The sequence below is a fragment of the Homo sapiens genome, chromosome 3, assembly GCF_000001405.40.
Source record: "Homo sapiens chromosome 3, GRCh38.p14 Primary Assembly".
Lineage (NCBI taxonomy): Eukaryota > Metazoa > Chordata > Mammalia > Primates > Hominidae > Homo > Homo sapiens.
The window spans coordinates 15935149-15952099 of NC_000003.12; the positions used below are offsets into that span (position 1 = coordinate 15935149).

The following is a 16951-nucleotide window of genomic DNA, read 5'->3' on the forward strand; positions in this document are numbered from 1 at the left end:
ATAATTCATGAAAAAAAATCTGTTGAACTAGAAGTGACTGGGCTATTTTAATGAAAGTAGAGATTTGGAATGTTTTAGAGCTGCAGATCAACACCCTCAGTTTTCATGAGAGAACTGAAGGCAGGGAGAGGAAATGACCAGCCCACAACTCAGTGAATTAGTGAGCTCGGGTCTTCTGTGTCCCGTGCCCTCAAGGTCACACAGCGGCTAGTGGCCAATCTGAAACTAGAACTCAGGCCTTGAGATTCACACACCTAGTTCTTTCCATGGAGCCACCACAATTTGTCACAGGGACACCAGAGGGTAGGCAGGCCCAAGGTCCCTCTCTCCTGCACTTCTGGGTCACAGAAGACACAGGGAGATCACATTTCCTTTCCTTTTCCATCTTCAGTGATCAAGCCCAGTTGCTTTCTGCTCTGGCTGCATATGAGACCCCCGGGGAGCTTTTTAAAGATTCTGATGCTCAAAACCCACCCTAGGTCAATTAAATCCATCTGGTGGTGGGACCCAGGCTTCAGTGTTTTAAAGCCCCCTAGGTGGTTCCAATCTGCAGCTAAATTTGAGAAACATTGGGTCTAGCCTGTCCCTCTCGTTTCTCCTATTCTCTTAAAGGCCAGCATCCTTCCCTTGCTCCCTCTGTTTCCTTTTTGCTAATCCTTGGGTTGTTTTTGTTTTGTTTTGTTTTGTAGAGGGAGTTTCACTCTTGTTGCCCAGGCCGAAGTGCAATGGTGTGATCTCAGCTCACCGCAACCTCCGTCTCCCAGGTTCAAGTGATTCTTCTGTCTCAGCCTCCTGAGTAGCTGGGACTACAGGTGCATGCCACCACGCCCAGCTAATTGTTGTATTTTTAGTAGACACGGGGTTTCACCATATTTGTCAGGCTGGTCTCGAACTCCTGACCTCATGATCCACCCGCCTTGGCCTCCCAAAGTGCTGGGATTACAGGCATGAGCCACCGCGCCCGGCCTAATCCTCAGGTTTTAGCATTGCAATCACATGGTTAAGTTCAGGCTGCTGCCATTCCAAGCCATTTAAGACATTAGCCAAAAACTTAGCTTTGTGGTCCCCTTCTCATCTACTCCTCTCTCTCTCAGCTTGGCTGGGTCTTTGCTTCCTTTACCACTGCCTCCCCTCAGCCCCTACCCAGGCCTTACTCTCCCAGGAGGGGCTACCATTTGTAGCCCTTCTCTCAAAGCCTCCCTCCTCCTTGGCTTCATCCCCAGATTAGTATGAGGCTGGACTAGAGGAACTGGGAGCTCAGGCTGGATGGAAAGCTTTGGGGATGCTGTTCCTATGATTATTGGTCCCAGAGGAATAATTCTTCCAGCAGCTCTTCTTTTTTTTCTTGCTGGCTAAGTGTGTGGGTGTGCAGCAGGCATCTGCTAGGGAATGTCGGCAAAAAATAAAACTTTTGAAGCTTCAATTCTGCAGACAGATTGAGAGGCCTCCCAACAGTGCAGAATTGCTGAATCTGGCTCCTTCCACCCACTTACCCCCCCAGGAAGCGGTAGGTCGAGTTCGACGTGTTTTGATTTGTTAACAGTGGCCTAGCTTATGGGAGTTTAACTCATAAGTGTGACGCTTGAAGATAAACTAGTCAACAAATAATTATTGAACATTCATTGCATGCAGGGCACTGTGCTAGGCACTGATAAAACCCAGATGGAAGGTCACCTCTGCTAAACGTATTTTGTGGGCAATGAAAGGAGACAGGAAGAGAGGGGAGTAGGAATAGGAAGGAAATAAAAATCCATAAAAGGGAAAAGGGTTAGGAGTGGCAGGATGACAGTTGCGTGTTTAACTTCCCAGGACTTAAAGTCCTGAACTATATGTCCAGTCCATTCTCACCAACCATATTGGAGCCACCATATTGTTTTAATCTTGTCATTTGACCTCCAAGATACTTTGGGGGCCCCTCAGGGAGCTTAGCAAACATTATCCTAAGACAGCTGCAGCTTCTTTCTCAATGCGTCTCCATCTCCCTCGCGCGTGTCTTTTTGTCACTTTCTAACTCCCACGCTTTATCTCCCTTGCTATCTCTTAGATAGATAACATTTTTTCATGAATACATAAAGAAATAAATCCAAGCTCTCAGCCATTTATCAAACTAATAATGAATATTACTGGTGGAAATGACCAACACAAATTAACAGCTAAAACTACACATAGAAAAAAATGGTTATTGATGGAAAATTGCCTGAAGAATCAAATCTTCTTGACAAAATGTAGACATCCAAATATGATCAAGAAAAATTGGATTCGGTAGAAATAACGGGCACAAAGTAAAATCCATGAAGACAGATATTATAATTGGTAAAATTTGACATGGACAATAACTTGATAACGAATCCAATTTTGTCAGGAAATTTAAACAGAGACAGGAGGATTGCTTGAGGCCAGGAGTTCAAAATCAGCCTGGGCAACATGTGAGACTCCATCTCTATTTAGAAAAAAAAAAGAGGCTGTGCGCAGTGGCTCATGCCTATAATCCCAGCACTTTGGGAGGCCGAGGTGGGTGGATCACTTGAGGTCAGGAGTTCAAGACCAGCCTGGCCAATATGGTGAAACCCCATCTCTACTAAAAAAAATACAAAAATTAGCCAGGCGTGGTGGCGGTGCATGTAATCCAAGCTACTCGGGAGGCTGAGGCAGGAGAATCGCTTAAACCCAGGAGGTGGAAGTTGCAGTGAGCCAAGATAGCGCCACTGCACTCCAGCCCAGGTGATGGAGCAAGACTCTGTCTCAAAAAAAAAAAAAAAAAAAAAAATTGATGCCAATTAAGATAACATCAATACAATATATACAAAATGGTAAAAACTAGAAACTACCGTATGAAAAATTGATCAGTGAATTTCATTACTAATGACATTTGTTCTAGAAACTCACTTTCTTGATGGAAGTCTGTCAATGCTGGCATAATTCTGATGAAAATATTTATAGTCAAATTTCCAGTGAGGTAACAATAACAGTGAAAAATATCATGACCCCACAGGAGCTGCCTGATGAATAGGCAGCAAGGCGAAAACTAGATCACCACCCATAGAGTGGGGCTTAGGAATCTCTTTCTTTAAACAAACAAAAACAGAAACAAAAATCCTCCATCTTTTGAGCTATAATGTAAACGAACCAACTATTAACAAAATGTTTGGGGAACAACCAGAAAAATTTGAACACGGACAGAATGCTAGAGAGTATTAAACCGTTGTTATTATTATTATAGGCATGATGATGGTGTTGTGGTCATATATTTTTATAGTCCTATTGTGGACTGAATATATTCCCCCAAAATTCATATATTGAAGCCTGAACCCCCATTTTGACTGTATTAGAAGAAGGACCTTTAAATAGGTTACAGGGGCTAAATGAGGACCTAATCTAGTGGGAGCAGGGTGGGGTCCTAAGTGTCCTTATAAGAAGAAGAGCCATGGGGTAGGGCACTAGCATAAAGAAAAGGCTATGTGGGGACACAGTGAAAAGGTGGCCATCTGCAAGGCAAGGAGGCTGGCCTCAGGAGAAACCAACCCTGCCGGCACCTTCATCTGGACTTCTAGCCTCTAAAAATGAGAGGAAAATATTGTCTATTGTTTTAGCCACCCAGGCTATGGTATTTGTTATGGAAGCACTAGCAAACTAAGATGAATCCTTATATACTAGAGATACCCACTGAATTATTTATGAGTGGAATAATATGATGTCTAAAGTTTTGCTTTAAAATACTCCAGAAATAAAAATTGAGGATAGCAGATAGATAAAACAAGACTGGCTAAGGTTGACAGTTATTGGAGCTGGGTAACAAGTACTTGGAGGTACATTGTACTATTATTCTCTTCTACTGTGGACTATGTTTGAAAATATTCAAATAAGTTTTAACAAATTGACATGGACAATTGTACAGGTGATTTTTATGTATATTCAAGTAGATAATTACCAAGAAAAGGTTTCCCATAATCTTGTATTCTAACCTGGGCTGCTGTGGCCTGGAATAAAATGTCACAAATATATATTTATAAATAAAACAGTCACTAAATATAATAAGGGAAAAGAATAAAAATGCCCACTGCAGACAGTGGAACTGTGGGCAAGGGGCAAGCAGTCAGAGAAGGAGGAATCAGCATTCATTGAGTGCCTAATACATACCAGGTGCTTTGTAAACATTGTCTTTGGATACTCACATAGGTTTATGAAGTAGACTTATAATTTTCAATCCTTTAAAAACATTTTAATATGAAGAAACTAAGGCCCAGGGAGGAGGAATGAATTCCTAAGATCACACACTAGGAAGTGGCTGAGCTGGGATTTTAATCCTATCTGTCTGCTTCCAAAACTTGCATTCTTTTCTCTGTACAATACCTTTTCCCTAGATATTGCCAAATATCAGATCATAAAGGACAGGAATTCTGAAGAGGATAAAATCGTAGACAGACCATTACCAAAGGAGTTGGACTTGGAGGTAAGTCCTGGAAGTGGAGAAAAGACATGCAAGCAACCTAGGAGTGGGGAGGGATGGCAAGATGCAGAAACTTGGTGGCAGGTGGAGAATGGGGTAAGAATGAGAGGCCACCACTGCAGGCTCATATTTCTTGAATGAAGGGATAGACCAGATGATCTTTCAAATCTAAAATTCTGTCAACCCTCATCTGAGCCTCTCCACTAGGATGTTCCACCTTCATCTCCAGTTCTACATTTTTAAAACTAGATTCATTACTTTCTCTCCTCCCCACCTGAAACAATTTCCTCCTGGATTCCCTCACCTGCTGATAGGATTCTCTCACCCACCTACATTTAACACCTGTCATCTTTACCAATCTTGTCCAGGCCCAAGTCTTGGGACAGCACTGGTAAAAGAATCCTGATAAAAGTTTGTGTCACTCCTTTGCTCAAAACTCTAGGAGCTCCCCTATCTGTTCCTTGAATACCTAAGCCATGTTCTGGCCTCAGAGCCTTTGCACTGGCAGTTCTCTCTACCCAGAAGGCTCTTCTGCCAGATATCCATCTTAATCTCCTTTACGACTTTATTCAGTGTCACCATCCCAATGAGACCTTCCTTGACCACCTGTTTTAAGTTGCACCTACCTGCGTCTTCCCCTGCTGCATGCCTAATCTCTTATACCATGATCTACTATTTTTCCCTCAGCACTTGTTTCTTTTTAACACACTATTTGTTTTTCTTTTCTCTTAAAAATTGTGTATCTCCCTTCATTAGAATAGAAGTCAGACAAGGGCAGGGCTTTTGTCCAATTTGTTCACTTCTCTAACCCTAAGAATTAACAACAATGCCTGGGCGCATAGAAATTTCTCAATGAATGAATGAATCCATGTCTTATAAATGAAGTACAGCATAACATGGAAACTAATAAATAAAGATATGGATAAAGTTCTGGGGAAAAAAATGGCTGTCAGTTCTACCCACCTTGGAGTGTCAGGAAAAGTTTCACACAAGAGGTGACAATTGAGCTGAGACTTAAATGTAAGTGGGCCAAGGTAGATGGGGTAGGTGAATAATGGTCCCCAAAGAGATCAAGTCCTAATCCCTGGAGCCTGGGGTTATAGGATGTATTAGTCCATTCTCAGGCTGCTATAAGGACATACCCAAGACTGAGTAACTTATAAAGAAAAGAGGTTTAACTGACTCATAATTCTGCAAGGCTGGGGAGACTTCAGGAAACCTTACAATCATGGTGGAAGGGGAAGCAAATACATCTTTCTTCACATGGTGGCAAGAGAGTGAAATGAGAGTTGAGTAAAGGAGGAAGCCCCTTGTAAAACCATCAGATCTCATGAGAACTCACTCACTATCATGACAACAGTATGGGGGAAACTGCTGTCATGATTCAATTATGTCCACCTGGTCCCGCCCTTGACATGTGGGGATTATTACAATTCAAGATGAGATTTTGGGTGGGGATGTGTCCGGAATTTATTCCTTCTGGTGGGTTCTTGGTCTTGCTGACTTCAAGAATGAAGCCGTGGACCTTCGTGGTGAGTGTTACAGCTCTTAAAGATGGTGTGTCTGGAGTTCCTTCAGATGTTCAGATGTGTCTGGAGTTTCTTCCTTCTGGTGGGTTCGTGGTCTCGCTGACTTCAGGAATGAAGCTGCAGACCTTCACAGTGAGTGTTACAGCTCTTAAAGGTGGCATGTCCAGAGTTGCTTGTTCCTCCCGATGGGTTCATGGTCTTGCTGACTTCAGGAATGAAGCTGCAGACCCTCGTGGTGAGTGTTACAGCTCATAAAGGTAGTGCGGACACAAAGAGTGAGGAGCAGCAAGATTTATTGTGAAGAGCGAAAGAACAAAGCTTCCACGGCATGGAAGGGGACCTCAGTGGGTTGCTGCTGCTGGCTCAGGTGGCCAGCTTTTAGTCCCTTATTTGGCCCCGCCCACATCCTGCTGATTGGTCCATTTTACAGAGTGCTGATTGGTCCATTTTACAGAGTGCTGATTGGTGCATTTACAATCCTTTAGCTAGATACAGAGTGCTGATTGGTGCCTTTTTACAGAGTGCTGATTGGTGCATTTACAATCCTTTAGCTAGACACAGAATGCTGATTGGTGCATTTTTACAGAGTGCTGATTGGTGGATTTACAATCCTTTAGCTAGACACAGAGCGCTGATTGGTGTGTTTTTAGAGTGCTGATTGGTGCATTTACAATCCTTTAGCTAGACACAGAGTGCTGATTGGTGCATTTACAATCCTCTAGCTAGACAGAAAAGTTCTCCAAGTCCCCACCTGACCCAGAAGCCCAGCTGGCTTCACCTCTCAGGGACACAGCCAAACCATACAATGTGGCAAAAGAGACTTAACAGATGTGACTAAGCTAAGTATCTTGAGATGGAAATATTATTCTGTATTATTCAGCGGGACCATAAATGGAATCATAAGTATTCTTATAAGGGAGAGGCAAAGGTAGATTTAGCAGCAGCAGCATAAGCAGAAGTTGATGTGACACTAGAGCAAGATGCTGTGCTGCTGGCTTTAAAGATGGAAGAAGGAGTCATGAGCCAAAGAATGCAAATAATGTGGCTCTAGAAGCTGGAAAGGGCAAGAAAACAGATTCTTCCCTTCAGCTTGTGGAGGGAGCACAGCCCTGCTGACACCTTGATTTCAGCTCAGTAAAACTGATTTTGGACTCTGACCTCCAGGAATTGTAAAAGAATAAATGTGCATTGTTTTAAGCCACCAAGTTTGTGGTAATTTGTTACAGCAACCATTAAAAACTAATACAGAAGGTGAGGGCATCCTATTAGGAGGGAATAGTATGTACAAATTGTGAAAGTGACAGCATTTTCAAGACACCCCTGGGAAACTTAATGTACTTGGGTTAAGCAGTAGGGAGTAGAGAAAGGTGGGGTTGGAGATGTGGCAGGAGCTAGATTGTGAAGGGCCTTGCATGTCATGTAGAAGAGTTGGGTGGTATTCTATTGGTATAGGGAAATGTAATGACCTTCAGTCCTGAATGGCATATTTTCCTGGCTGCAGGGAGTGCTGCTGGCAGATGGCCCTTACTTGCAACTCTCTTCTGGAATCTCTTTTTTATGCATGCAGCTGTCTATCCCAAGCTCATACCAGCTTCCTGGGGCAACCAATGAGTGGTCTACACAGAAGTATACTCTGTCATTTCACTCCAATTCAGAAGAACTCTGAAGGGCCATCCCAACTTCAGAGCTTCCCAGGAGGTTAGCTAAAGCTTTGTTGTGATGACTTTGGAGCTCAACTTCCCTGTGTGTCCAATCCTGCCTTCTTCTCTCTCTTCTACAGGTATTAATCCCAACAGCCCTCCCTAATAAACATCCTGCCTGCTAGTCTTTGTCTCATTCAGCCTCCTTGGGAACTCACCCTGCCAATAGGGGTTAAATGGTCTTTAAGTAAGAGAATGAAAGGTAAGATTGGTTTGGGTGGTGATAACTCAGATCAGTGTGAGGACGCGCTAGGCTGGGGAGAGACTGGAGGAGAGATCAGTTAGGAAACTGGAGCAAGATTCCAGGTGAGAGATGATGAAATCCTGGGCAAAGGTAGAGGCAAAAGCAACTCTAGGCATGGTTGTCAGCTTTCCTGTGAACAGCCTCTTGAAGCCTAGTCCATAGCATGTTAACTAAAAGTTCTTCCTCATAGGCAACACAAGGGAAAATAGACAAATTAGATTATATCAAACTAAAAAACTTCTGCACAACAAAAGAAAGAATCAATTGGGTGAAGAGACAACCTATGGAGTGGGAGAAAATTGGAAACCCATTCGATAAAGGGTTAATATCCAAAATATATTAGGAGCCCAAACAACTCAATAGCAAGAAAACAACCTGATTTTAAAAATGGGCAAATGAACTGAATAGACATTTCTCAAAAGAAGACATACAAGTGGCCAACAGATATATGAAAAGATACCCACATCACTAATCATCAGAGAAATGCCAGTTAAAACCACAATGAGATATCTCCTTACACCTGTTAGAATGGCTACTATCAAAGACAAAAGATGTTGGTGAGGATGTGGAGAAAAGAAACAATTGCACGCTGTTAGTGAAAATTTAAACTAGTACAGCTATTATGGAAAACAGTATAGAGGTTCCTCAAAAAAATAAAAACACGACTACCATATGATTCAGCCATTCCACTACTGGGTATATGTTCAAAGGACATGATATCAGTATGTTGAAAAGATATCCAAACTCCCATGTTAACTGCAGCACTGTTCACAATAGCCAGATATGGAAACAACCTAAGAGTCCATCAGTGGATGAATGGATTTAGAAAATGTGATATATTTATGAGAAAGGCATGTTGAAAGCTGAGATGGGCCAAAAGCTAAGCCTCTTACACCAGTTAGTCAATTTGTAAATGCAAAGGAAAAGTTCATGAAGAAAATTGCAAGTACTACTTCATTAAACACATGAATAATAAGAAAGTGAAACAGCCTTACTGTTGATGTGGAGAAAGTTTGAGTGATCTAGATAGAAAACCAAACAGCTACAACATTCCCTTAAGCCAAAGCCTAATCCAGAGCAAATCCTAAGTTTCTTCAATTTTATGAAGGCTGAGAGAGGTAAGAAAGGTGCAGAAGAAAAGTTGAAAGCTGGCAGTGGTTGGTTTATAAAGTTTAAGGAAAGAAGCCATCTCCATAACATAAAAGTGCAAGGTGAAGCAGCAAGTGCTGATGTAAAAGCTGCAGCAAGTTATCCAGAAGATCAAGCTAAGATAATTGATAAAACTGGCTACACTAAACAACAGATTTTTAATGTAGACATACAGGCTTCTATTGGAAAAAGATGCCATCTAGGACTTTCATAGCTAGAGAGAAGTCAATGCCTGCCTTCAAAGTTTCAAAAGATAGGCTGACTCTCTTGTTAGGGACTAATGTAGCTGATGACTTTACCATTGACACCAATGCTCATGTCCCATTCCAAAAATCCTAGGATCCTTAAGAATCATGCTGAATCTACTCTGCCTGTGCTCTATAAATGGAACAGCAAAGCCTGGATGATGGCACATCTGTTTACAGCATGGTTTACTAAATATTTTAAGCCCACTGTTGAGACCTACTGTGTAGAAAAAAGATTCCTTTCAAAATACTAATGCTCATTGACAATGTACCTGGTCACCCAAGAACTCTTATGGAAATGTACAAGGTGATTAACATTGTTTTCAGGCCTGCTAATACAACATTTATTCTCTAGCCCAAGGATCAAGAAGTAATTTGGACTTTCAAGTCTTATTATTTAAGAAATACTTTTAGGCCAGGTGTAGTGGCTCACGCCTATAATCCCAGCACTTTGGGAGGCCAAGGTGGGCAGATCACGAGGTCAGGAGATTGAGACCATCCTGACTAACACAGTGAAACCCCGTCTCTACTAAAAATCCAAAAGAAAAAAAAAAAATTAGCCAGGCGTCATGGCAGGCACCTGTAGTCCCAGCTACTTGGGAGGCTGAGGCAGGAGAATGGCATGAACCTGGGAGGCAGAGCTTGCAGTGAGCCGATACTGCACCACTGCACTCCAGCCTGGGTGACAGAGTGAGACTCCGTCTCAAAAAAAAGAAAAAAGAAAAAGAAATACTTTTAGTAAGGCTATAGGTGCCATAGATAGTGAATCCTCTGATAGAGCTGGGCAAAATAAATTAAAAACCTTCTGGAAAAAATTCACCATACTAGATGCCATTAAGAACAGTTGTGATTCATTGGAGGAAGTCAAAATAACAGCATTAACAAGAGTTTGGAACAAGTTGATTCCCCTCACAAATGATTCTAAGGTGTTTAAGATTTCAGTGGAGGAAGTAACTGCAGATGTGGTAGAAATACTAAGAGAGCTAGAATTAAAAGTGGAACCTGAATATGTGACTGAATTCCTGCAATCATGATAAAACTTTAATGGATGAGGAGTTACTTCTTATGGATGAGCAAAGAAAGTGATTTCTTGAGATGGAGTCTACTCCTGGTGAATATGCTGTGAACATTGTTGAAATGACAACAAAGAATTTAAAATATTACATAAACACAGTTGATACAGCAGCAACAGGATTTGAGAGCACTAACTCCAATTTTGAAAGAAGTTCTGGCCTGGTGCGGTGTCTCACGCCTGCAATCCCAGCACTTTGGGAGGCTGAAGTGGGCAGATCGTGAGGTCAGGAGATTGAGACCATCCTGGCTAACAGGGTGAAATCCTGTTTCTACTAAAAATACAAAAAATTAGCCAGGTGTGGTGGCACACGCCTGGAGTCCCAGCTACTCAGGAGGCTGAGGCAGGAGAATTGCTTGAACCTGGGAGGCAAAGGTTGCAGTGAGCCGAGATCGCACCACTGCACTCCAGCCTGGGCGACAGAGCAAGACTCTGTCAAAAAAAAAAAAAAAAAAAAAAAAGGAAGGTCTACTGTGGGTGAAATGCTATCAAACAGCATCACATGCTACAGAGAAATCTTTCATAAAAGGAAGAGTTCATTGATGTGGCAAACTTCATTGTTGTCTTCCTTTAAGAAATCACCACAGCCACCCCAACCTTCAGCAACCGCCACCCTGATCCAGTCATCAGCCATTAACATGGAGGCAAGACTCTACACCAGCAAAGATTACAACTCAATAAAGGCTCAGATGATTGTTAGCATGTTTTTAGCAATAAAGTATTTTTAAGTTAAGCTATATACTTTTTTTAGACATAATGCTATCGCACATTTAATAGACTATGGTATTATATATATATATATATATATATATATATATATATACATGTATAGTGTAAACATAACTTTTATATGCACTGGGAAAATAACAAATTTGTATGACTCACTTTATTGTGATATTTGCTTTAATAGAGTGATCTGGACTTGAACCTTCACTATTTCCATGGTATACCTGTATTCTTGAAAACCCCTGACAGTAGATTTTAAGTGTTCTTACCCCCAAAAAATGATAAATCTGGGAGGTAGTACACTTGTTAATTAGCTCAATTCAGCCAGTCCACAATTTATACATATTTTAAAACTTCATGTTGTACAAAATATATAAAGTTTTTACTTGTCAATTAAACAATAATTTAAAAAAGAAGTTCGTCTTTATTATGGCCCAAATCTGTTCATTTTGTCCCTCATTTCTAATCCAGCTTTGTGGAACATGTCTACTTTCTTACCAAAAATATCTTCTCTGTTTCCCAGGCGAACAGTCAGCTTCAACAAGCAGCAGGTTTGATCAACCATTCTTCTCAGAGCAAGAAACCTACCATACTGGTAAGTGTTCTTCTTTCCAGTTCTCCTTGAATATCTCCAGTGTCAGAGAGCTCATTATCTTACGAGGCTGTGTATTCTCATTGATATGGTTTGGCTGTGTCCCTACCCAAATCTCATCTTGAATTGTAGTTTCCATAATCCCCATATGTCATGGGAGGGACTGGGTGGGAGGTAATTGAATCGTGGGGGTGGTTACCCCCATGCTGCTGTTTTCATGATAGTGAGTGAGTTCTCACAAGATCTGATGGTTTTATAAGGGGCTTTTCCCTCTTTGCTCAGCATTTCTTCCTGCTATCATGTGAAGAAGAACGTGTTTGCTTCCCCTTCTACCATGATTGTAAGTTTCCTGAGGCCTCCCCAGCCTAGCAGAACTGTGAGTCAATTAAACCTCTTTCCTTTGTAAATTATCCAGTCTCAGGCAGCTCTCTGTAGCAGTGTGAGAATGTATTAATATGCTCAGTCTCAGCTGAGAGCCTTTTATACTAAGTCTGAAACTTCTCATAGCTTTCACTTGGTTCTAGTTGAGACATATCATCAGCATGGAACGTGTTTAGAGGTCCTAGTTTTGGAGTCAAACAGAAATTGGTTCAAATCCGGATTCTGCTACTTAAAGTGACCTTGGTCCTTTTATGTCAACTAGTTTGCTCAACTGTAAAATGGGGACAAAAATAGAATCTACCTCATAAAGTTACCATTAAAAAAAAATATGTTGGCCGGGCGTGGTGGCTCACGCCTGTAATCCCAGCACTTTGGGAGGCTGAGGCGGGCAGATCACGAGGTCGGGAGATCAAGACCATCCTGGCTAACACAGTGAAACCCTGTCTCTACTAAAAACACAAAAAATTAGCCGGGCGTGGTGGCGGGCGTCTGTAGTCCCAACTACTCGGGAGGCTGAGGCAGGAGAATGGCATGAACCCCGGGGGGCGGAGCCTGCAGTGAGCCGAGATCGCACCACTGCACTCCAGCCTGGGCGACAGCGAGACTACGTCTCAAAAAAAAAAAAAAAATATGTTGGCCCGGCACAATGGCTCACGCCTGTAACCCCAACACTTTGGATGCCGAGGCAGGTGGATCACCAGGTCAGGAGTTCAAGACCAGCCTGGCTAACATGGTGAAACCCTATCTCTACTAAAAATACAAAAATTAGCTGGGCGTGGTGGCACACACCTGTAATCCCAGCTACTCGGGAGGCTGAGGCAGGAGAATTGCTTGAACTTGGGAGACAGAGGTTGCAGTGAGCCGAGATTGCACCACTGCACTCTAGCCTAGGTGACAGAGTGAGACTCTGTCTCAAAAAATAAAAAAAAGAATATATTTAAAGCATGATACCTGGCACGCTGTGAATACTTAATAAGTGCTAGATATTATTATGGATGTTAGATGTCAATTGAATGTGTCTCTCCAAAAGGCATTGCATTATGATATGTGCCCTCTTCAGGGGTGGCAGGGGAAGCAGCAAAAAGAAGTTCTGTCTCCTTATTGAGTTGTGAGTGGATACATACCTGACCTCTTTGAATAAAATGCATGTTAAGCACAGTAATCCTGTGTAGACTCTCATTCAGGACATGAGGCTGTAATCAAGGTGCCTCTCATGGCTTATATCTGCCTACTTAGGAGGAAAAAAGAATTTGTTTTCCATTTACCAAACAGCAGCCCTGCATAATAAGAAGGGATTGATTTTCTCAGCGTTCCATTAGCTCTGAGTATTTCAAGAGAGCATAATGCATTCCAGTGGGGGACATGAATTGCATCATCAGGGAGCTGGAAAGGGACCTGGAGAGGAATCAGGCTGGGGTAGCAGCTTTCAAAGGGAATAATCTCACTCTTCTCCACATTTTCCTTATATGTTTTTTCAAAATCTTTGAAGCATGGCATTTTGTATCCACATTTCTGATCCAGACACATGTTTCATAACCAGTTCAACTGCTGACCCAGTTAAATAATAATGAGTGGATTCTCATAAATCTCAACTTTTTCTCTCAGAAGAACCCAGTGGAAGAGGCTACAGAGTGGTGGCTGTGGGAGAAGTCATCACTGGTGATGTCAAAACCCATTGCTTGATTGGTGGTGCTAAAGATGAGCTGTCTGCCCATCAAAATCACCAGTAGGAGAGAAAGAAAAATTTAGTTAATCTGTTGGTTGTTTTGTCTACCTGGTATTCACACAAGTAAAAAAAAACAGAGAGAAGAAAATACTGTCTTCCACAGAATGGAGTGATTTTTTTTCCTCATAGAAGAAAGGTTGCTTCCTGGAGGTTTTTATGGGAAGTATAGTATAACCAGTAGTGTGATGGCAAATGTTTAACACAGACACTAGCAGGTGAAGGGAGCCTGAGTTGGTAGAAAGTGCTCATTTTTGTGGTGTATATGTTTTCACCATAGTCAATTTCAAGCTACCAACACAACATCACTGAGTGCGGTATTGGGAGAGATGAGCAGAAGCACACCATTCTGTAGTGTTTCCACCATCCCTAACCTGTGAGATCACTACTCACTCACACACTCACTCAGTCATTCATCTTTTATTTATTCAACAAACATTTATTGAGCACCTGCTGGGCACTGGAAATACTGAAATGCACAAGAGGCTCTCAAGATAGACAAGAGAGCTGATGACTACAGGGGGATGTAATAAATATACGACAGAGTTAGGAATGGGCAAGGTGACTGGGAGGAAGAGTGGCCTCTTGGACTGGCCATTCAGTCCTCCAGCTGCTTCATTGGAGAGTTTGACAGTAGATCCCTTTCCCCAGCTTGATACACTCTCTTTCCTTGGCCTCCAGGACACCATTCTCTCCTGGATTTTCTCCTGTCTTGTTGGCAGCGCCTTCTCAGTCTCCTTTGTTGCTTCCTCCTTAGCTCTATGACCTCTAAATGTTGCAGTGTCTCAGATTCCAGTCCTTGGATGTCTTCTCTTTTCTACCTCCCTCATCCAATGGTAATTTATCCAGTGTCAAGATTGTAGATCATCCACGGCCCCCAGCTGTAGATCCTCCCGCAACCCTGAACACCAGACTCATCTGTCCAACTGCCTATTTGAAAACCCCCATATGGCTAACAAATGTCTCCAACTTAACATGCTCAAAGTTGAAACCCTGACCTCTGTCCTCTGAAACTTGCTCCTCCTCCATCTTCTCCACCCCAGGAAATGGCCACTCTCACTCTACCCCTCCAGTTGTTCGGGGGCTCAAAACCTGTGAGTCATTCTTTCCTTCTCTAACGCCCCAAATTTAATCCATTGGCAAAGATTGTGGACTGTCTTCCAAACATCCAAGAAGCAACTGTGCCTCACCCCCTCCACCACCTTCACCATGGATCATGCCACCATTGCTCACCTGATTTACTGTATGACCTCCAAATACATCTTCCTGCCTCCACTCTTGTCCACTGCTGCCCCACCCACAACACACACCTATATTCAATTCTCAACATAGCAGCCCAAGTGGTCCTGTTGAAAAATAAGTTAGATCATTTCATTAACCTCATAGGATTGTTATGGGTATTGCAATGTCTGGCACATGACAAACATTCAATTTTTGTTAGTATTATTGTTGCATTTAAATTAAGAGGCTATTCATTATACTGTGTGATTTCTTTTTGTTTGTTTGTTTTCGGAGACGGAGTCTCACTGTGTCGCCCAGGCTGGAGTGCAGTGGTGCGATCTCGGCTCACTGCAAGCTCTGCCTCCCGGGTTCACGCCATTCTCCTGCCTCAGCCTCCCGCGTAGTTGGGACTACAGGCACCCGCCACCACGCCTGGCTAATTTTCTTTCTCTTTTTTTTTGTACTTTTAGTAGAGACGGGGTTTCACCGTGTTAGCCAGGATGGTCTCGATCTCCTGACCTTGTGATCTGCCCGCCTCAGACTCCCAAAGTGCTGGGATTACAGGCGTGAGCCACCACCCCTGGCCTATACTATGTGATTTCTAATATCCGATTTTGTTAGTTCTTACAGACAAGTAGCTTGTGCTTCAAACATCGCACCCACAATCATGAAGGTAGCAGGTCTTCAGTTCAGAGCAGAGGAGATGTTGAGCTGCAATACAAATGTCACCCTCAGAAGGTCTATTTTAATAATGGAGACTAATTTAGTTTAGAAAGCAAAAAATTTCCAATTTGGCAAATTAAGGTATAATTAACATGCAGTAAAAATCATGGATTTTTTTTGTTTTTGTTTTTGTTTTTTTGGAGATAGGTCTTGCGCTGTCACCCAGGCTCAAGCCACCTCTGCCTCCCAGGTTCAAGCCATCCTCCCATTTCAGTCTCTTGAATAGCTGGGACTGTAGGTGCACATCACCACGCCCAGCTAATTTTTGTATTTTTTGTAAAGATGGGGTTTCACTATGTTGCCCAGGCTGGTCCTGAACTCCTGAGCTCAAAGGATCCCCCCACCTCAGCCTCTCAAAGTGCTGGGATTACAGGTATGAGCCACTGCGCCTAGCCAATTTATCCTTTTTAGTGTACAGTTCCATGAGCTTTGACAAATGCATACAGTCAGGTAACTGTGTCACAGGTACTTTATCACAACTTGATAAAGTTTACATTTCTCTTGAGTAAAATTGGGATTACTGGGTCTACCTGTGTTGTGGGAAAACTTATATTTTAGATTATTCTTGAATAAACATAGAACTATTACTCTCAGATTCATGATGTGAAAATAAGTAATTCAAAATCTAAGCTGTTGGAACTATAAAATATTTTGAGCCTTAAGGGAATGTGATTATGGGACCTGAGTCACAAAAACAGGCAGCTATAACCTTTTGTGTCTCTGATTATAGATTAGCCTTTTTTCCTTACCTACATTGTTTTGTAATATGTTGGAAATTACTAACGGGCACCGAGGTAGGAACCCCTTCTCTCTTAACTATTGATCTTTGTTGTAGGTTAACTTCCCTCTTTCTTCTCTCACACAGACTTCTTGACTATCATATTGTCTAAGATGAAATGTTAAATATATTACTTCAAATTGGAAAGGAGAAAAAAAGCTGGATATAAAAGAAAAACTGTAATTAAATTGTTTTAACTCGTAAACCAACCTTGTATAGAAAATGTCATAATCCTATTAAATTTTTTTGTTTCCTGCCTATATAAGCAAGACCTTAATTTTTAACTTTGGAGTATTGACCCCATTCCTTTGAAGCCTGTGTTATCCAAATCCAAATGGCCATTCTCAGCTTTGCGCTTGAATAAACTTTTTTTTTGAGACAGGGTCTCACTCTGTCACCCAGACTGGAGTGCAGTGGCACA

At 42.1% G+C, this 16951-nt stretch overlaps 1 long non-coding RNA gene across 1 annotated transcript in view; it reads left to right on the forward strand.

Moving 5' to 3' along the window:
* LOC107986064 (uncharacterized) overlaps positions 1–16951 on the forward strand; it is a 112662-nt gene that overhangs the window by 75035 nt on the left and 20676 nt on the right. Inside the window, exons 3-6 of the long non-coding RNA XR_007095831.1 lie at positions 4362–4450; positions 7478–7756; positions 11636–11707; positions 11987–12044. This is a non-coding gene — a long non-coding RNA (uncharacterized LOC107986064). The remainder of the gene's footprint in view (positions 1–4361; positions 4451–7477; positions 7757–11635; positions 11708–11986; positions 12045–16951) is intronic.